At 42.1% G+C, this 21,371-nt stretch overlaps 1 protein-coding gene across 28 annotated transcripts in view; it reads left to right on the forward strand.

Moving 5' to 3' along the window:
- The window catches only part of MLH1 (mutL homolog 1), a 57,381-nt gene that overhangs the window by 24,817 nt on the left and 11,193 nt on the right, over positions 1 to 21,371 (forward strand). For 24 of the 28 annotated variants that reach the window (XM_047448155.1, NM_001354619.2, NM_001258274.3 and 21 more), the window contains 3 exons: positions 2,028 to 2,181; positions 7,355 to 7,725; positions 10,502 to 10,650. In XM_047448155.1, coding sequence (XP_047304111.1) covers positions 2,028 to 2,181; positions 7,355 to 7,725; positions 10,502 to 10,650 — 674 coding nt within the window. The remainder of the gene's footprint in view (positions 1 to 2,027; positions 2,182 to 7,354; positions 7,726 to 10,501; positions 10,651 to 21,371) is intronic. The other 4 variants (NM_001354627.2, NM_001354624.2, NM_001354626.2 and 1 more) reach the window with 1 other exon arrangement.

The raw sequence follows: 21,371 nt of genomic DNA on the forward strand, positions 1-21,371 counted from the left end.
AAAAAGACTGGGTTCTGTTCTGTGGAGGTTCTTGTCTTAACATATCCACTGTTGATTGCCCAGATGTTGATGTAATTAATTTAGCAGTCGTAAATAGTTTAGCACTTGCATTAAATAGACCAAACCCCATAGTAGGTATTTGAAATACAGAATAAATGTGAGGTACCCCTGCTCTAAAGGAGTTTATAGTCCAGAGCTGACTTATGGAGGATTTCTTTCTATTATTTCTGGGTCTGCTACTAATTTGTCTATTTCATATCCTAATTATCCTTGTTTTCATTTTGATTGAAAGGGGGAGAGCATAGAAATTGTGGTAAAAGGTAGTTTTATTTTTTATTTGAGATGGAGTCTTGCTCTGTCACCCAGGCTGGAGTGCAGTGGCACAATCTCATCTCATTGCAACCTCCACCTCCCGCGTTCAAGCAATTCTCCTGCCTCAGCCTCCCGAGTAGCTGGGATTACAGGTGTGCACCACCACGCCCAGCTAATTTTTGTATTTTTAGTAGAGATGGATTTTACCATGTTGGCCAGTCTGGTCTTGAACTCCCGACCTCAGGTGATCCTCTCACTTTGGCCTCCCAAAGTGTTAGGATTACAGGCCTCAGCCACTGCACCCAGCCTAAAGTTAGTTTTAGATTAAGTGTTTTCATGTTTTCCCTTGCAAAGTAATAAACTGGTCAAGTTATCACCTTGTTCCATCTCCATATTAATCAGGGTCCAAACAGGAGATAGAAACCATGCAACAATTTGAGTAGTTGAATAAAGAATTATAAACAGGAGATTAGAGTAATAGGGGATTAGATAGTAAGAGGTGAAGAGATAGGAACAGCAGATATAAAGAACAACCATTTCCTCCTATGGCTGAGATACCATCCCCTCACCACACTCCCCCACCTACTCACTGAGATGCAGACCTTATTGAAGAGAATGTAACTGGCTTGCTGCGAGGTAAAGTCAATGAGGCGCTCCCCAGTACCACTCTGAGGGGATGCTGGGGAAAACTGCCCATGAGAAGAGGGCACATGCTGCTGGCCACTTGTGCTAAAGAACTTGAAGTCTGATAGGAGTGCACCCTAACCTGGCATAGAAACCCTTTCTTCCTGCTGAGTCCCTCTAGCACCTTATACTGGCAAAGCTTTACATTGCAAACCTCCATTATCACAGAGCAAGCAATGAAAGATGGACTCAGAGCTGAGGCGATAAATTGATAGCTAGCATAGCCTCTAAACTGACTTTTATGACTACATTTTATGGATAGAAAGTGTTCTTATATATATTGTTTCTTTACATAATAGGGGACTTATTCATGGCTGCAGATGAGAAAACAGATCCTAAGAAGTTAAGTGACTTGCCCAAGGTCACACAAAGAATTCCACTAGTTCTAAAATGACAGTAATTACAGTTAACATACATTGTATGTGGCAGATACATATAAAGCACATGGCATTAATTTTTTTTTTTGAGATGGAGTCTTGCTCTGTCGCCAAGCTGGAGTGCAGTGGCACGATCTCGGCTTACTGCAACCTCTGACTCCCTGGTTGAAGGGATTCTCCTCCCTCAGCCTCCCGAGTACCTGGGATTACAGGCATGCGCCACCACGCCCAGCTAATTTTTGTATTTTTAGTAGAGACGTGGTTTCATCATGTTGGCCAGGATGGTCTCGATCTCCTGACCTTGTGATCCACCCGCCTCGGCCTCCCCAAATGCTGGGATTACAGGCGTGAGCCACCACGCCCGGCCACTTGGCATGAATTTAATTCCCGCCATAAACCTGTGAGATAGGTAATTCTGTTATATCCACTTTACAAATGAAGAGACTGAGGCAAAGAAAGATGATGTAACTTACGCAAAGCTACACAGCTCTTAAGTAGCAGTGCCAATATTTGAACACACTCAGACTCGATCCTGAGGTTTTGACCACTGTGTCATCTGGCCTCAAATCTTCTGGCCACCACATACACCATATGTGGGCTTTTTCTCCCCCTCCCACTATCTAAGGTAATTGTTCTCTCTTATTTTCCTGACAGTTTAGAAATCAGTCCCCAGAATGTGGATGTTAATGTGCACCCCACAAAGCATGAAGTTCACTTCCTGCACGAGGAGAGCATCCTGGAGCGGGTGCAGCAGCACATCGAGAGCAAGCTCCTGGGCTCCAATTCCTCCAGGATGTACTTCACCCAGGTCAGGGCGCTTCTCATCCAGCTACTTCTCTGGGGCCTTTGAAATGTGCCCGGCCAGACGTGAGAGCCCAGATTTTTGCCTGTTATTTAGGAACTTTCTTTGCAAGTATTACCTGGATAGTTTTAACATTTTCTTCTTTGAACCTAGTTATAAAGGTATTGTGCTGTTGTTCCTAGGCTTAGAGTCATAAGGCCTGAGCTCACTTCCTCACTTTGCCTCCATCTGGAACCTTAGACCAACTTCCTAGGAAAACGAGCTGTCTGAAAACAGAATAGGGTGCCTCTTCAATGTGCTCTTCACTGGAGATGTTCAGGAGGAGGCTACTCCCACCTACACAGGGTGCAGTGGAGGGTCTGGGCCCCAGGGAGGCAGCAGGAAGAGTGGAAAGAGCGGAGGCTCTACTGTTGGACAGACCTGGGTTACCAGCCGTGTGACTAGCCTTCCCTGGCCTCCATATCCCCCTCAGTAATGAAGGAATGTGTCATCCCCAAATCCAGGGACAGTTACAAGCAGTCAGTGAACAGAAAGTGTCTGGTACAGGTTCTAAGTGCTTATTATTCTAAGTCACTTCACTTACCTGAGTTCTCAGTTTTCCTATCTATAAGATAAGCAGGTTGGATAAAATGTTCTCCAATATACTCCTGGTCCTGAGATGATGTGATTGTGGGCAGCCCTTTAATCATGGTGAAGATGTTCATCATAAGCACACTGAAACTACAAAATAGGAATATAAATATTTTCTCCATTAAATTATGCTGGATCCTAGAAGCAAAAACTGGAACTGTGAAACCCTACTTCACAGAAAACTTAAAATTCCCAAGCAGATGAATGCTTCTCGGAAGGACACTGACAGTTACCTACCTGGAAAGAATCTAGATGGAGGTGGCATGGGCACTAAGCGGTGAGATTAAACCCAGTTAGGGCAGCCCCACCAGCCTTGGAACCCACACATCTGGAGATTGTTGATGCAGAGAGAAAGGTTCCTACTGGTGAGACCTGAAAGGGATATGTGGCAGGTGGGAGGAAGAAGTTCTGTCTGGAAACCAACCCTTGTTCCTCCGTTATTGATTGACTCCTGGTACCAACATGAGCCCTAGGTCTTATAGAGGCCATAAGTCCCTATGCCTTATAGTGCCCATGGATGAGATGAGGCCACACATGCCCCCAGTGGGTTAACATGTCTAGCGTGGGTAAGGCTCTTGGAGCACTATGATACACAGGAAATGCCCAGTAACTCTTAGTTGGTTTGATATCTGTTCCCATTGCTCACTTAAGCTCAGTGCCCCTTTACTGATCCTTTTATTCTGCCTCCCTCTGCACATGTGCATTGAGACTCCTATCTGAGACACACACTGTGTTGGGTGCCCAGGGATGCAGCATAGATGTTGCTGCCTTCCACAGAAGCGCTCATGGTCTGCTAGAGAATATATCCCATGGGAGAGAAAAACAGACTCGGGAGAATATAGCAGGGGCCCTTGTCCTGGACTTTGGCAGTTAGGAAAGGGAGGGAAGAGACATGGAGGCTGGGACCCAAAGGCTAAATAGGAATTTGCTGGGCCAAAGGGGAGGGGGAATGAAAAGAGTGTTTCTGGCAGAGGAAATGGCAAGGATAAAGGCCTGGAGGCGCAAGAGAATATGTGTTTGAGGATCTGAAAGTTGAGTGCAGTGGGTCCAGTGTTCTCTACCCTGGCTGCCATTAGAATTACCTGGGAAACTTTTAGAAAATTCCAGTGTCTGGGCCCTCCCTAAAACAATAAATCATTCTTGGGTGGTGGGGTCTGGGCATCAGGATTGTTTAAAACCCTCCCCAGGTACTGTCATGTGCAGCTGGGGTTAAGCTGTGCTGGGGTCTGAGTATGGATCTGTTAGGGCAAGTGGCGGTGATGGAGTTGAGGCTGCAGAATTCAGGCCAAATAGAGAGGTTTTCATCAGGATATTAAAGAGTTTAGATTTCAATTTGGTGGGAATGGATGGGATCTTATTTGCATTTTATGAAGAGCTCCCTGGTTGCAATATCAGAATGGATTGGAGAGGAGCAAGATGGAAGCCTACAGTGATTTGGGAGAAGTGGTGAGGGACTTGAGACACAGGAAGTAGCCCCATTCACTAATAGTTGAGTATGTAGATTTGCTAGGACCTGGAAATGGTTTGGCTGGTGGGGAGTGGGAAGAAAGGCCCAAAGTGTGAAATGAAGATGGAGAGCACATTGCCTAGCCCAGAGTGATTGCCATTTGCTCTGTCCCAGTTGAGGTCCAAGGGGTTGGCCAGAGATCATGGAGTCTGTGGCTCCATGGGGAGAAGAACCTCTCAGCATGCCTCCTTGTCTTATCCTGGGTTAGTCAGATTCATTTTGTTAGATTACATTTTTTTTCCAGTGGAACTCTGCTTAAGTCCTGACCAGTATGTTTTCAGAAGGATCAGAGGGCCTGCCCTTGTCCATTGGTGCATGACACCAGCTTGGTGGGTTCCTTGCTGCTCCCTGTTTTCATAGGGTTATCAGAATACCTTCTCTCCCTGCCACCAGCAGGTCACACTGGCTCCTGACTTTTTGGCCCATGGAACCACCATCTTTCTGCTTCTTAGATTGTGCCTTGTACTCCACTGATCATGGCCAGTACATCAGAAGCCCTGGTTTGCAGTGAATGCATTTGATATGGAAATCAGGAACCCTGGGGATACCACTCATCATATTTGGTTGCTGTGTTTTTCCTCCAATCTTTCACCATAACAACAATCAACTCAAAAGATTTCTATAACCACTTGTGTGGGGGTTTCTCCCCACACACTAAACAAGCAGTCAGTTCCAGAGTGGACAGCAGCTGGTCTCCTCCAATTTAATTCCAACACTGTCTACTTGGAGATAGCATTAGATCCCACAGGTTGAGGGTGCAGTCCCCTAGACTGCCCCCAGTCTCCTGCTTCAGACACCAGTCACAAGTCCAGGACTCTAGAAGTTCTGACCAGTTTCAAGTTGGGGTTCCCACAACCCCCCACTTTATTTTTGATTAATTTGCTGGAGTGGCTCATAGAACTCAGGGAAACACTTAGTTTTCTGGACTTATTACAAAGATTTAAAAAGATACCAATAAATAGCCAAATAAAGAGATATACAGGGCTAGATCTGGAAGGGTCTGGAGCGCAGGAGCTTCTGTCCCCATCTACTTGGCTCCCAGCAGATGGATGAGTTCTTATTCATTTTCTTGTCAGCTTCGACATGTTCAGCTCTCTGGAAGCCCGCAAACTCTTGTCTTCTTGGGCCTTTTATGGAGACGTCGTTAGGCAGGCATGATTGAAACATGGACAACTGTGTCGAAATATGATTGGACATAAAGGGGTCTAAACTCAGTGAGGCCTGTTTGTTCAGATTCTTCTTGGCCTCTCTGTGGCCATTCTTTCCTCCAGGATATGGGGCAGGACCCCTATGGAATGAGGGTCTTATGACCCACAATCAAATTAGAGTCCTGCCTTGGGCAAGTGAAAGGAAAGCAGGAGAAGGTAAGAGAAATTCTGTTGCCTAAGACCTTCTGAGGCCTAAAGCACCCCAACATTATAACAGAAGACGATAACAGGACTATGGGAGTTATGAGCTGGGAACCTTGGACAAAAATATATACATATTAAATAAATATTAAGTGTATATATATACTTACGTATATTAAGTGTATGTGTGTGTGTGTATATATATATTTTTTTAATTTACTGGTTGGTTTTGGGAAGCAGAAATTACCATAACTACTCTTAAAAATCTTTTAAGTCTCTTTGAAGTTAGAAAAGTCACTGTACCTTTTTGTTTCCATTGGCCCTGTACTTCTTATTATACCCCAGCAGGAGGAGCATAATGTGTTGTTATATCATTCTGGTGATAAGATTCATAAGTGGGTTCAGCTGGTGACAGCCTGATTCCCTCATTGTAAACTTATCCATCAACATGTAGCTTAATCGTTTCACCTTTTGTGATGACCATTACCTGAATCAGTTATTTCATTAGATTGCAAGATTATGCTTTTCTGATTTTATCATTTCTTCTGTATTGACTGTAATTCTTTGGTATAGAAGAACTTTCCCTTGTTAATAGCTATTTGGTTGTCCTGAAGTACAGTTCTTACTAGAAAGTAAGACCAAATGCTGAATTATATCCCTCTAGCTATCAATTTTCGAAGGAATGAATGGTGTCCTAGTAATTTCCAGTGGTGTTTAATTACGTTTTCCCTTCTCTTTCTCCTTCTCTTATTCCCTCCCTCTCCATCTCCTCCCTCCTCACTTTCAGTTTTTTGCTCTTTCAGTATTTTGTCATAGCTGTTAACAGAGCAACATATTTTAATCAATTGTAGTCATTTTTCTTTTTGGTGCTCAAATTATCCCGTCTTAGTCCCATGGAAGCAAGCCCTTGGAGCTAGGGCCCTCTACCTTTTGATGGATTTCCATTTGTCTTGATAATTTCCTTGTTTCTGACAAGACAAGATGTTGCAGGCACATTTTATACTTTCCCAGCCCAAACCCTGGAATAGGCCTTTTCTCCGAGGAGCTCTAGTTCATTTTAGTGGGAAATGGTATTTAGAGACTATAATCTGGGATCTGGGAGTCCTCATTGCTACTGAGTAGTCATTACTTTTAGGCTTTTCCAGTGGTCAGAGCTAGGAAATATGTATATTTAAAAATGGACAGTTGAATGGTTGTTGCCAGGAGCTGGGAGGAAGGGGAAGTGAGAAATTGTTTAATGGGCACAGAGTTTCAGTTTGGGGAAGATGAAAAAGTTCTAGAGATAGCTGGTGGTGATGGTTGCGCAACAATGTAAATGCCACTGAGCTCTCATTTAAAAATGGTTAAAATGGTAAATTTTATATATATTTTACCACAATAAAAAAAAGTCTTCTTCTGGGAGCACCCCCCCAAGACAAAAATATGAAAATTTTACACTGATACTTCCATTTCAAGATAATTTTAAGATTATAAGGATTTTGCTTAATTCTTGAATTTTATACCTGTAAACCTTTTATACTTCAAATTTCGGGCAGAATTGCTTCTATAACAATGATAATTATACCTCATACTAGCTTCTTTCTTAGTACTGCTCCATTTGGGGACCTGTATATCTATACTTCTTATTCTGAGTCTCTCCACTATATATATATATATATATATATATTTTTTTTTTTTTTTTTTTTTAATACAGACTTTGCTACCAGGACTTGCTGGCCCCTCTGGGGAGATGGTTAAATCCACAACAAGTCTGACCTCGTCTTCTACTTCTGGAAGTAGTGATAAGGTCTATGCCCACCAGATGGTTCGTACAGATTCCCGGGAACAGAAGCTTGATGCATTTCTGCAGCCTCTGAGCAAACCCCTGTCCAGTCAGCCCCAGGCCATTGTCACAGAGGATAAGACAGATATTTCTAGTGGCAGGGCTAGGCAGCAAGATGAGGAGATGCTTGAACTCCCAGCCCCTGCTGAAGTGGCTGCCAAAAATCAGAGCTTGGAGGGGGATACAACAAAGGGGACTTCAGAAATGTCAGAGAAGAGAGGACCTACTTCCAGCAACCCCAGGTATGGCCTTTTGGGAAAAGTACAGCCTACCTCCTTTATTCTGTAATAAAACTGCCTTCTAACTTTGGCTTTTCATGAATCACTTGCATCTTCTCTCTGCCTGACTTGCCCTCTGGAATGGTGCTGGAATGGTCCTGTGGCCTTGTCCACTGTCTGCCTTTGACCATAACTTGAAAGTCACCCACCATAGTGTCCTTTGAAATAACTTAAATGTCCACAGTTCCAAGCATGAGTTAAAAACACTTCAGAATGTAGAGTAGTTGTTCAATTGAATAAACACACACACCAGAAAAAAAAGCAAGTTTATCTTTTATTTTTAGTAAAGAATTTTGATAGAGCCTCAACACCAGAAATGGCTAGAGAGAGAAGCCTAACATATCTGGAGGATTATTTTTCATCCTACTTAAAGCTGCTTTCACTTTTTTCAGGAAAAAACACACGTTCTGAATCTAATTTATAAAACTCCCTGGCCGGGTGCTGTGGCTCACACCTATAATCCCAGCACTTTGGGAGGCTGAGGCAGGTGGATCACCTGAAATCAAGAGTTCAAGACCAGCCTGACCAACATGGTGAAACCCCATCTCTACTAAAAATACAAAATTAGCCAGACGTGGTGGCGCATGCCTGTAATCCCCGCTACTCGGGAGGCTGAGACAGGAGAATGACTTGAACCCGGGAGGCGGAGGTTGCAGTGAGCCGAGATCGCGCCATTGCACTCCAGCCTGGGCAACAAGAGCGAAACTCCGTCTCAAAACAAACGAACAAACAAAAACCCCAAAAATCCCTGAAGTACGTGAGCTAGTGGTGAAAGAAAGCTGGAGAAAAGGAGCAGGAATAATAATAATAATAATAATAATAATAAAGATTGTCATTTAATTTTGAGTACTTCCAGTGTACACTTTGCAGGTACTCTAAGACATTACCTCACTGAAATCTCTAAGGTAGATATTCTTTATTTAAAGTGTACTTGTATGAAACCTGGAGCTCAAGGTGAAGGAATTTGCCCAAGGCTGCACTTGCACTATCGTGGCACTAATTAGCCGTGTGAACTGGGACACGTTACTTCAGTTTGCTCATTTCTGAGTCAGCCTAGCAAGATGACTTCTAAGAATTTTTTCCAGCCGGGTACATTGGCCTGTAATCCCAGCACTTCGAGAGGCCAAGGTGGAAGGGTCACTTGAGTCTAGGAGTTACACACAACACACACACACACACACACACACACACTAGCCAGGCATGGTGGCAAATGCCTGTAGTCTCAGCTACTCCGGAGGCTCAGGTGGAAGGATCACTTGAGCCCAGGAGGTTGGGGCTGCAGTGAGCCATGATCACGCCACTGCACTCCAGCCTGGCTGACAGAGTGAGATCCTCTGTCTCAAAAAAAGAAAAAAAAAAAGATTTTTTTCCAGGGAATAATAAAGGAAGCTAATATTTATGGAGCATCTACGGTGTGCCAAATACTTTGCATACGTTATCTCATTTAATGCTCTTATCCCTGCAGGGAAAGTATTAACATTTGTTTATCACTTGCAGAACTAAGTGATATTTACCACAGAGTAGACAAATATTTTCAAGCCCAAAATCAAGTGGTATCACTTTTCTGCTGAGAATGTTTCAGTGGTTTCCTTTGCTCTTGGGATAAAACTTAAATCCCTCACCCTACCCTTGCTCCAACCCTCCACTTTCCTTCTCCCATGTGGTGATTTGGCCATACAGCTCTTGTGGCTGATCTGAACTGACTGAGCTTTTTACCCTTTTGCTCTTGCTGTTCTTACAGCCTGGGAACCCCCTGGTTACCTCTTGGCTTGGTGTGGTGGCTTACATCTGTAATCCCAGCACTCTGGGAGGCCAAGGCGGACGGATCACCTGAGGTTGGGAGTATGAGACCAGCAAGTCACCTCTTGCCAGTGGCCTTTGTCCATTGAGTCTGAAGTTCTTTCTCCTCTCATTTCCCCATCATTCTATTATGCTACCTTGTTTTATTTTCTTCATTGTGTTTATTGATACTTAAAATGATCTCTTTTCTGTTGCTGTTTGACTCTCCCACTAGAAAGTAAGCATTGTAGATCGGGCACTGTGGCTCACACCTGTAATCCCAGCACTTTGTGGGGCAGAGGCGGGTGGATCACCTGAGGTCAGGAGTTCGAGACCAGCCTGGCCAACACGGTGAAACCCCATCTCTACTAAAAATACAAAAAATAGCTGGGTATGGTGGCTCGTACCTGTAATCCCAGCTACTCAGGAGGCTGAGACATGAGACTCACTTGAACCTGGGAGGCAGAGGCTGCAGTGAGCTGAGATCACACCACAGCACTCCAGCCTGGAAGACATAGTGAGACTCTCTCTCAAAAAAAAAAAAAAAAAAAAAGGAAGTAAGCATTGTGAGGGCAGGTACCTTCTCTGTTTTGTTCATTGCTGGATGTAGTTAGTATACAGCAGTATCTGATGGATGGATAGATGGAGGAATGAATGAATGAGACTTCACAAATTCAGCTCACTTGCTCAAGGCCCTGCAGCTCTACGGGATGAAGCTATACTCCAGAGTCCTGCTACATTGGCTGTGTGGCCAGCTGCTGGGATCTGAGGGTTGTCAGATAAGCAGTCTACCAGAGAACAGACTGATCTTGTTGGCCTTCTGCCAGCACAGGGGTTCATTCACAGCTCTGTAGAACCAGCACAGAGAAGTTGCTTGCTCCTCCAAAATGCAACCCACAAAATTTGGCTAAGTTTAAAAACAAGAATAATAATGATCTGCACTTCCTTTTCTTCATTGCAGAAAGAGACATCGGGAAGATTCTGATGTGGAAATGGTGGAAGATGATTCCCGAAAGGAAATGACTGCAGCTTGTACCCCCCGGAGAAGGATCATTAACCTCACTAGTGTTTTGAGTCTCCAGGAAGAAATTAATGAGCAGGGACATGAGGGTACGTAAACGCTGTGGCCTGCCTGGGATGCATAGGGCCTCAACTGCCAAGGTTTTGGAAATGGAGAAAGCAGTCATGTTGTCAGAGTGGCCACTACAGTTTTGCTGGGCAAGCTCCTCTTCCTTTACTAACCCACAATAGCATCAGCTTAAAGACAATTTTTGATTGGGAGAAAAGGGAGAAAAATAATCTCTGTTTATTTTAATTAGCATTAATTGGTATTCTTGTTAAACCATAGGAGTCAGAGTAAATCAGCCATTTCACCAATTTTCAGTTTGTTTCTGTCTTAGCTAACAGCAGTGTAATGGTCAGCAAAATTCTTATCTTGTGTACTGAATGGCATGTCCTGTTGCTGAAAGTGCACAGGCTTGGGAGGTAGCCATGAGCTCAAATCCTGGCACTACCACCTCTCTTGTGTGACCTTAGACTCCTGACCTTTCTATGCCTCAGTTCTTTCTTACCTATAAAATGAAATTAATTTTACCCTTAAAGATCATCGTGCTGATTAGAGATAAAATATAAATAATAACACTTGTTACAGAGCAAGGAGTTGACACTTTTATATTCTGAAGACAAAGTGGTAAATCATTATCATCTATGTCAGAAATAGCTTTTGAGAATACCTGAGTATAGAACTATCTTGATCCCTGTTACTTCAAAACTAAAATAATGGTTTTAGGAATTAAAAGGTGAGGCTAGTCACCTCCAAGGGATGAACTGACTCAGGGATTGAGGTATATAACAGTGAACTGGTCCAAACAACAGTCCTGACCCCACTTTATGAGTGAGACTATGAGTAATGGTCTAAGTGTAGACATCATTGTCCAGGGCTCCAGTAGGCAGCTCTGTACTTGAGAATTTAGCAGTGACCCTTCTATTTTTCATCTATTATACCTTTTTTTTTTTTTTTTTTTGACACAGGGTCTCACTTTGTCACCCAGCTGGAGTGTGGTGGTGCAATCATGGCCCACTGCAGCCTCAACCTCCCTGGGCTTAGGTGATCCTCCCACCTCAGCTTCCTGAGTAGCTGTAATTACAGGCATGTGCCATCATGCCCAGCTAATTTTTCTTTTCTTAGAGGTGGGGTTTTGCCATGTTTCCCAGGCTGGTCTTGAACTCCTAGGCTCTCACCTCTGTCTTCCAAAGTGCTGGGATTACAGGTGTGAGCCACCACACCTGGCCTATTACACATTTCTTAATTAAAGTAGTCAAATTTGAAAACTGTTACAAAGTGTATCTTAAAATACGACGATCTGGTTTAATTTTTAAAAGATATGAGTAGCCAAGGAGCAATTCTGTGCCTTTCCCACTAGTCCCTAACCTTTTAAAGCAGCTGCTTCTTGGCTGGGCTCAGTGGTTCACCCCTGTAATCCCAGCACTTTGGGAGGCCAAGGCGGGTGGATCATGAGTCGAGATCATCCTGGCTAACACAGTGAAACCCTGTCTCTACTAAAAATAGAAAAAAATAGCTGGGCGGGGTGGCGGATGCCTATAGTCCCAGCTACTCGGGAGGCTGAGGCAGGAGAATGGCATGAACACGGGAGGCAGAGGTTGCAGTGAGTCGAGATTGTGGCACTGCACTCCAGCCTGGGCGACAGAGCGAGACTCCATCTCAAAAGGAAAAAAAAAAAAAAAACCCATCTGCTTTTGATTCAGTGGCTTCTTTAATTTTGTCGGTCTCAGTCACCATTTGTCTAAGCAAATTCAGGCAGGCTTCACCTTGCCTTTCTACATTTGTTCCCTTTTCTTAGCATTTTGGGCCTTTGTTTACACGTGGGAAAAGACCCACAGGTCGTCTCTCCCTTTGGGCAGGATACAGGCTTCCTGTGACTGAGGTTTTGCTAGCTGTAGAAGTGGCTGCCAATTGGCTTCTGGTTTTTATTTCCATGATTTGCTCCAGTGGCTCTTCCCTTCCATCATTGTTAGCTTTCAAGCTAGGAACTTTTAAAATGCTTTTAAATAAAAGTGAGCTGTTACTTGATGCATTTAGCAGTCTTCCTCACAGTGGTTTTGATAGACAGACTCCCTCAGTTTGGAATTTATGAGTTTTCTTTAAGGGTTTGTCTCCCTCATGTATAGCAGGCTGTTGAAAGTTACAATGTCAATAACTTTCTGAATAGTATCAAACTGTTTTCAGTGCAGTGTATTAACAAAACTAACCTGCCTCAAGTTTGGTCAGCTTTGGAGTCTTACTGAGGCTAAAATGATAAATCTAAATGATTTAAAATTGTGTATTCCTACACAGTATCTCACTTAATTATGTAATAGTCTTGTGAGTGAGGCAGAGCAGATGCCGTTTTCTCTATTTTAAAGATGAGGAAAATGGAATGGAAAATGGAAAGGACAGACTAATTGCAACATCCTCGCAATCAAAAACAGGCCCAGGTTCATGCCTTGTTGGCAGTGGGTTGCTACTGGCTGTGGCCTTCATGCAGGAAGGCTAGATGCATAACCAGGTCAACAGCCCGTGCAGGACAAGCACGCCATGTAATTCTGATTCCATCGACTGAGGCTGGTGTTTTCAAACGTGCTGGTGTAGGGTCTTACAGACAGAGTCATCTGTGCTATGGGGAATGGAATGTGCTCTTGCTTTGGAGCCAGAACTCCTCTGAAGCTCCCACCACCTACACCATTCAGAGGCCAGACAGAAATTTGTTCACCATTTTGGGCATGATTTTCGTGCTTTTGTAAAATGTGCTTCACTGCAGCCCTTACTGGGCTGTGGTGATGAACACTTAAGATACTGTGTGTGTGCTTTATAATCTGTAAGGCACTGTTCAAGGGGAGGGACCTCTGCCATGAGCCCCTACCCACTGGTATCTGGTTGACATCCAAAGCCCCAGCCTGGGAGAAGCTGATTCTCTAGTTGAATGCTGTATAGGGATTTGACTGAGGCTCAGATTTGGTGAGGAAGACCACTAACCTTAACAGACCAACAGGCTGGCTACTCCCTGATGAAGTTCCCCAGGCCATGAAAGAAGTAAGAGATACATTCCTTGTAACAGCTTTCTTAGTTGCACCTGTATGATTATTTGATCAGTGTGTTGTCTGTGCAGGGATCATGTCTGTGGAGCTCACCACCTCGTCCTCGGTGCTGAGCAGAGTGCCTGGCATGTGTACTCAGTAGATATTTGCTAAGGGAGCGAGTCAGTGATTGAGAGGAGCAGCCTGGGAGGTAAAGCCCTAGAATCTTTATTTTAAAGGGATATCAAAGTTGAACATTCAGTTAGACAGTTCTCTTGAGTCCAGGGATTTACCCATCCATGGTGGACACACTTTCAGTTAAAAAGTAAGGTTAATTTTGACAGGTTGCAGTATCCAGGCAAGCATTCTATGGAATAAGGCTCATCTCAGGGATTAGTAATGACTGAATTAACTTACTGCTAGTCCCATAATTTTGACGTTAATTAATGGGGTTAAGAAATGTCATAAGCTATTTGGTACCATTTAAAGTGAAAATACCCTTAACGTTTTTTGCCTCCAGATATCCACACTTAATTTCATTTTCTTGCTCTTTGGTGAACAGTCCTGGGTCTGAATGTATATATCCATGGTTTGTCACTAGGTGACAGGTTTTTTTGGAACAAGAAATCAGTTCAGTGAACATTTGTCAAGTATCTTCTCTGTAAAAAGTGTAATGTGCCAAGCTCAGAAGTAGGAAGTGAAATGGATAAACTATGACCCCTGCCTTAAAGAACACCATGGTGTTGTATGGGAATTGTTTAGGTAGAATGAAAGAAATCCTCTAATAGAGATATGAGGCCAGTTCAGCAGAAAGCCAGGGTGAGATCTCCTGAGAGGGATGGAAGGGTGTCTTGATCATCTCTGGTAGCAGCAAAGGCACTGGCATACAGTGGCCACTGGAAGACAACCAGCAGGGGATGGGGGCGTTTACCCTTGCAAGTGAGCATTAGGAACTAGAGGACTGATTGCCCTTTCTTCAGCTTTGGTTTCCCTTGCTGCAGAAAAAGATGCTGAGACTCATGGCCTCGGTTATGAACTCAGATATGTGGTTTGGCTTTGAAGCACAGATGGATTTTGTCCGATTTTGGCAGGGAAATGCCTACAGACAGCACTATGGGCATATTTAGGTTAGGGACGAAATGCAAGTTGATTAAGTCCTGATAAGAGGCTGTGAAGAGGTCCAAGAAGCCTCACAATGCCCAATGAAGAAAAGCCCTGTGCTTGGTGCTGCCGCCTCCCTTCCCCGTCCTGCTGGCAGGGCTGCGCTTCAGTAGCTCTGGATGCGTCAGAGCAGTCCATGAACATTCTGTGTGGAAAATCTCTGACTGTTTTAGTGGATTACACTGCTCTCCCTTTCCTCCAGTGCCTCGTTATTCAGTATTATTTGATGTTCTCCAGCTTTTAAAATAATCATTTTCCGCCTACGCAGAACATCCTGTAGAGACGTTGAGGTTCCAGTGGGAACAGAGAGGAATACTTATTCTAAAAATGAAGAAAATAAACCTTTTTTTATGGAGTGGGTGATAGTATTGCAGAACTTCTATAATAGTATGAGAATTCACTTGTGGTGCCAAAGCTTAAAAAAAAAGTATAGTAAAAACATAATGTATAGGCTTATTGCTGTGCTATGACCCATGCCCCGTTTTCTCCAACCTCTCTTGTCCTCACTCTTCCTTTTTGCTGGTGATATTTTTACTTATTTCATGAAAAAAAAGATAACATATACACACACATAGATATATGCACAAGTATATGTATATATGTGTGCATAACACACATAAACATATACATTGGTAAATTTAAAAACATATTTATGAAATATATGTAGCATCTACAGAAAAACATGAACACTTGTGAGAATAGCATCTGCCTAAAAAATAGGACATCACCATCACCTTTGAGGCTCTTATGTGCTGCTCCCCTGTGCCATTCCCTTCCCTTCTTCCTTAGAGGTGATTACTATTCTAAATTTTGGGATTATTATTTCCTTTTTTTATTATAGTGTTTTAATTACAGTTTTATTACCTGTATTTGTATTCCTAAAAATTTGTTTACTTTTGCAAGCTTTAGATTTTATAAAAGTAGAATTACACTGTAAGTTTAATTTTTCTGTAATTTATATATAGCTACACATATATTCCTAAGATTCATCCATCTTGTTACATATAGCTCTGGTTTACCTTTTCTGTATAATATAGATTCTGCTTCGTGAATTTACAGTTCATTCATTCTTCTGTTAAAGGACAGTTGGAGGACTCATATGGCCTCAGTCTCTGTGTCCCCACATGCCACCCTGCTTCCCAGCCTCATATGAGTTGATTGGTGGCCTGGCATACTGGATGAGAAGCTCTAGGTCATATATTTAAGAGAGTTATTGCTGGGTCATAAAATGACAGATTGTTTTCCAGAGGGGTCATATTGATTTAAATTATCACCAACAATTATATTGTCAGATTTTTACCAGTTTGGTGATTGTGAAACAGTGTCTGATGGTAGTTTTTATTTGCATTTTCTTGGTTGAAATAAAGTTGTGTATTTCAGCCAGGTGCGTTGGCTCATGCCTATAATCCCAGCACTTTAGGAGGCCAAGGTGGGCAGATCACTTGAGGCCAGGAGTTCAAGACCAGCCCAGCCAACGTGGCAAAACCCCATCTCTACTAAAAATACAAAAATTAGATGGGTATGGTGTCACATGCCTGTAATCCCAGCTACTCAGGAGGCTGAGGCACAAGACTTACTTGAACCCGGGAGATAGATGTTGCAGTGAGCCGAGATTGTACCACTGCACTCCAGCCTGGGCAACAGAGCAATAACTAAATAAATAAGTAATCAATTAATAAATAAGTATATTTCCTCAGCTGTTAAGTACCTGTTCAAGTTTTTTACCCAATATTTGATGGGCTCTTTTTTTGTCTTTTCTAATTAATTTTTGGAGTTTTTGATATATTCTAGATAGTAATGAGTTACATGAAAATATCCCTAGTTTAGGGATCCTCTAGTAACTTTTTAAAATGAATACTTGTTTTAGGAACAGAAATTCTTAGATTTAATGTAGGCAGATTTTATCAATTGTTCTTTACAGATTGGCTTTGTAGCTTAAGAAATCCTTCCTAACTTTGCAATAATTAAAGATATGCTCTTAGATTGTTTCCTAAAAGACTGATACTTAAGCCTCTAGCCCACCTGGAATTGATTTTCACAGATACTACATTTTTTACTAGTTATAGATTGGCCCCTTCGTAGAGCAAGTCCGATAGCTGCCATTTTTATGGCAGCATGTGCTCACTTAGTGTCTCTGTCAAATTTTGGTAATTCTCACAATATTTCCAACTTTTTCATTATTACTATATCTGTTATGGTGATCTGTGATCACTGATCTTTGGCATTACTATTGTAATTGTTTGGGGCACCATTAAGCTCACTGTCTTATGTGGGCATAAACCATGCCCACATAAGACAGTGAGCTTAATTAATAAATGTGTGTGCTCAGACCCCTCCACTGACTGGGTGTTCACATGTCTTCCTTACTCTCCTCAGGCCTCCTTATTCCTTGAGACGCAATAATATGGAAACTAGGCAAATTAATAACCCCACAGCGTCCACAAGTGTTTAAGTGAAAGGAAGAGGCTGGGCGCAATGGCTCACATTTGAGCTCACAAATGAGCCCATGCTCATTTGCCATTCCAAAAATCCCAGGGCCCTTAAGAATTATGCTAACTCTACTCTGCCTCTGCTCTATAAATGGAACAACAAAGCCTAGATGACAGCACATCTTTTTAGAACATGATTTACTGAATATTTTAAGCCCATTGTGGAGACCTACTGCTCAGAAAAAAAGATTCCTTTCAAAAGCCTGTAATCCCAGCACTTTGGGAGGCCAATGCAGGTCGATCACCTGAGGTCAAGAGTTCGAGACCAGCCTGGCCAACATGGTGAAACACGTCTTTATTAAAAATACAAAAATTAGCCAGGCCTGGTGGTAGATGCCTGTAGTCCTGGCTATTCAGGAGGCTGAGGCATGAGAATCACCTGAACCCAGGAGGTGGAGGTTGCAGTGAGCCGATATCATGCCATTGCACTCCAGCCTGGGCACCAGAGTGAGACTACGTCTCAAAAACAAAACAAAAAAAAAAAACTGAAAGGAAGAGCTTAATGAGAAAGGCATATTAAAAGCCAGTATAGGTTGAAAGCTAGGCCTCTTGTGCAAGTTAGCCAAGTTATACATGAATGGTAAAGCAAAACAGCTTTATTGCTGTAATAAAGAAAGTTTTAGTGGTCTGGATAGAAGATCAAATCAGTCACAGCATTCCCTTAAGCCAAAGCCTAATCCAGGGTAAAGCCCTAACTTGCTTCAATTCTTTGAAGACTGAGAGGGGTGAGGAAGCTACAGAAGAAAACTTGGAAGCCAGCAGAGATTGATGAGGTTTAAGGGAAGAAGCCACAAGTGCTGATGTAGAAGCTGTAGCAAGTTATCCAAAAGATCTAATTGATGAAGGTGGCTTACACTAAACAACAGATTTTCAATGTAGACAAAACAATCTTCTATTAGAAGGTGTCATCTATGACTTACATAGTTAAAGAGGAAAAGTCACTGCCTGGCTTCAAAGCTTCAAAAGACAGGTTGACTCTAATAGGTACTAATGCATCTGGTGACTTTAAGTTGAAGCCAGTGCTCATTTGCTATTCCAAAAATCCCAGGGCCCTTAAGAATTATGCTAACTCTACTCTGCCTGTGCTCTATAAATGGAACAACAAAGCCTAGATGACAGCATCTTTTTAGAACATGATTTACTGAATATTTTAAGCCCATTGTTGAGACCTACTGTTCAGAAAAAAAGATTCCTTTCAAAATATTACTGCTCATTAACAATGTACCTGGCCACCCTAGATCTGTAATGGAGATATATAAGGACATGAACACTAACACAGCATCCATTCTGCAACCCATGGATCAAGGAGTGATACTGACTTTCAAGTCTTATTTAAGAAATACATTTCATAGGGCTCTAGCTGCCATAGATAGTGATTCTTCTGATGGATCTGAGCCAAGTAAATTGAAAACCTCTGGAAAGAATTCATCATTTTAGATGTCCTGAGAAACATTCGAGATTCCTGGGAAGAAGTCAAAATATCAACATTAACAGGAGTTTGGAAGAAATTGCATCCAGCCCTCATGGATAACTTTGAGGGGTTCAAGACTTCAGTGGAGGAAGTAGCTGCAGATGTGGTGGAAATCACAAGAAAATTAGAATTAGAAGTGGAGCCTGAGGATATGACTGAATTGCTGCAATCCCATGATAAAATTTGAACAGATGAGGAGTTGCTTCTTATGGATGAGCATAGAAAGTAGTTTCTTGAGAAAGAACTTAATTCTGGTGAAGATGCTGTTAATATTGTTGAAATGGCAACAAAGGATTTAGAATATTATATAAACTTGGTAAAGCAGCAGCAGGGTTTGAGTGGATTGACACTAGTTTTGGAAGAATTTCTACTGTGAGTAAAATGCTATCAAACAACATGACAAGCTACAGAGAAATCTTTCATGAAAGGAAAAATCAATTGATGCAGCAAACTTCACTGTTGTCTTATTTCAAGAAATTGCAACAGCTTCCTCAGCCTTCAGCAATCACCACCCTGATCAGTCAACAGCCATCATCAGGGCTAGATCCTCCACCAGCAAAAAGATAACAATTCGCCGACAGCTCAGATGACTGTTACCATTTTTTAGCAAAAACCTTTTTAATTTTATTTATTTATTTATTGGAGACAGAGATTCACTCTGTCGCCCAGGCTGGAGTGCAGTGGCACAATCTCAGCTCACTGCAACCACCACCTCCCAGGTTCAAGTGACTCTTGTGCCTCAGCCTCCCAAGTAGCTGGGATTATAAGCATGTGCCACCACGCCTGGCCAATTTTTGTATTTTTAGTAGAGGCAGGATTTTACTATGTTGGCCAGGCTTGTCTCGAACTCATGATCTCTGGTGATCTGCCCACCTCGGGTTCCCAAAGTGCTGGTATTATTGGCATGAGCCACTGCGCCCGGCCAGCAAAAAAGTGTTTTTAAATTAAGCTACCTACGTTGATTTTAGACATAATGCTATTTGCACACTTAATAGATTACAGTGTGGTGTAAACATAAGTTTTATATGCACTGAAAAACAAAAAATTTCACATGACTTGCTTTATTGTGATATTGACTTTATTCCTGTAGTCTGGAACTGAACCTGCAATATCTCAGAGGTATGCCTGTATCTACTTGTTCTGTGATACTTGTTATTGTCAGTTTGTTTGGATTTACCACATATTATTTGATCATAATTCTTTCCTGTAGATGTTTTATGGTCTGCCTAAACCTTTAGTGGGGCCTTTGATGGCTTAGTCCTTTCAGGCTTAAGACAATAGAAGTTTATTTCTCAGAGTTCTAAAAGCTGGGAAGTCCAAGATCAAGGCACCGACAGATTTAGTGTCTAGTGAAGGCCCGCTTCCTCATACATGGCACCTTCTAGCTGTATCCTTACATAGTGGAAGGGAATAGCTAGCTCTCTGGAGTTTCTTTCATAAGGGCTAATCCCACTAATCCCAATTATGAGGGAAGACCTAATCACCTCCCAAAGGCCCCACCTCCTAATAGTATCACCTTGGGGGTTAGGATTTAACATATGAATTTTGTGGGGACACAGACATTCAAACAATAGCCATGGCAAACTTTTTTGCTTTGTCTAATTCACTCTTATTTTGAAAAGTATTTGTGTTGGGTTTAAAACTCCAGATTGGTAATTATTTTTTCTTAGTGCATTGAAGGTAATAGTGTATCATTTTCTGATTTCTACTCTTGCTCTTGAAAATTCAGCTATCAATCTTAAAATTTATTACCTGTTGAAAATCCAGCTACCAGTCTTATATTTTATTTACTTAGTGGGTAATCTCTCTTCTGAGTACCTTTAAGATCTCCTTTCAGAAATACCATGTAGTAACCCTGTGTGTCACGTGTGGATTTTGTTGGGCTTGCTAGCTGAGACTTGACAGTTTTCATCACTTCTGGGATATTCTCAGGTATTTTGTCTTCAAAGTCTTCAGATATTGTCCTCTTCCTGCCCTCTCTCCGACTCCTTCTGGAACATGAGTTATGTATTTATTATCTCCCATGTGCATAAGTTATCTTTACATATTTTCAATTTCTTTATCTTTCTGTGCTACATTCTGGATAATTTTGTTGATCTACCTTCCAGTTAATTAGCTTGTTAACTTTGTCAAATCTCTTTTTAAGTCTATCTTGATTTTTCTTTTCAATTATTGTATTTTTCATTTTTAAAAACTTTATGTGCTCTTTTGGAAATCTTGATCCCAGGAGATAGTGGATAGTGTCCTGCTGCTTACTCATGGTTTTAATAGTTCTTGAGCATGCTGAACATACTTATTTTATGTTATTTGCTAATCTTTCCAATTCCTGAAACCTTTACAGATCTCATTCTGTGGATTCTTCTGGATTCTAATTCATGGGGCATTTTTTTTGTTTTTTGTTAATTCCTCATACTTTATCTGTGGGGAATTACTTGAAGCCTGGGTTGACAATGAAATTCTGCAGAGAGAATTTGCATTTGATTCTACTGGAGGAACAGTCAGCCCCGATATCAGTTTAAATTAAAATCTCTGCTTAAGGTTTTCAGGCAACCTGCTTAGCATGAATCCTGGCTGGAAAAGCATGTGAGGACCAGTTTATGATTACACATTCACAGGGTGTCATGTTTTCTTCCAAC

This window comes from Homo sapiens, chromosome 3 (genome assembly GCF_000001405.40).
Source record: "Homo sapiens chromosome 3, GRCh38.p14 Primary Assembly".
Classification (NCBI taxonomy): domain Eukaryota; kingdom Metazoa; phylum Chordata; class Mammalia; order Primates; family Hominidae; genus Homo; species Homo sapiens.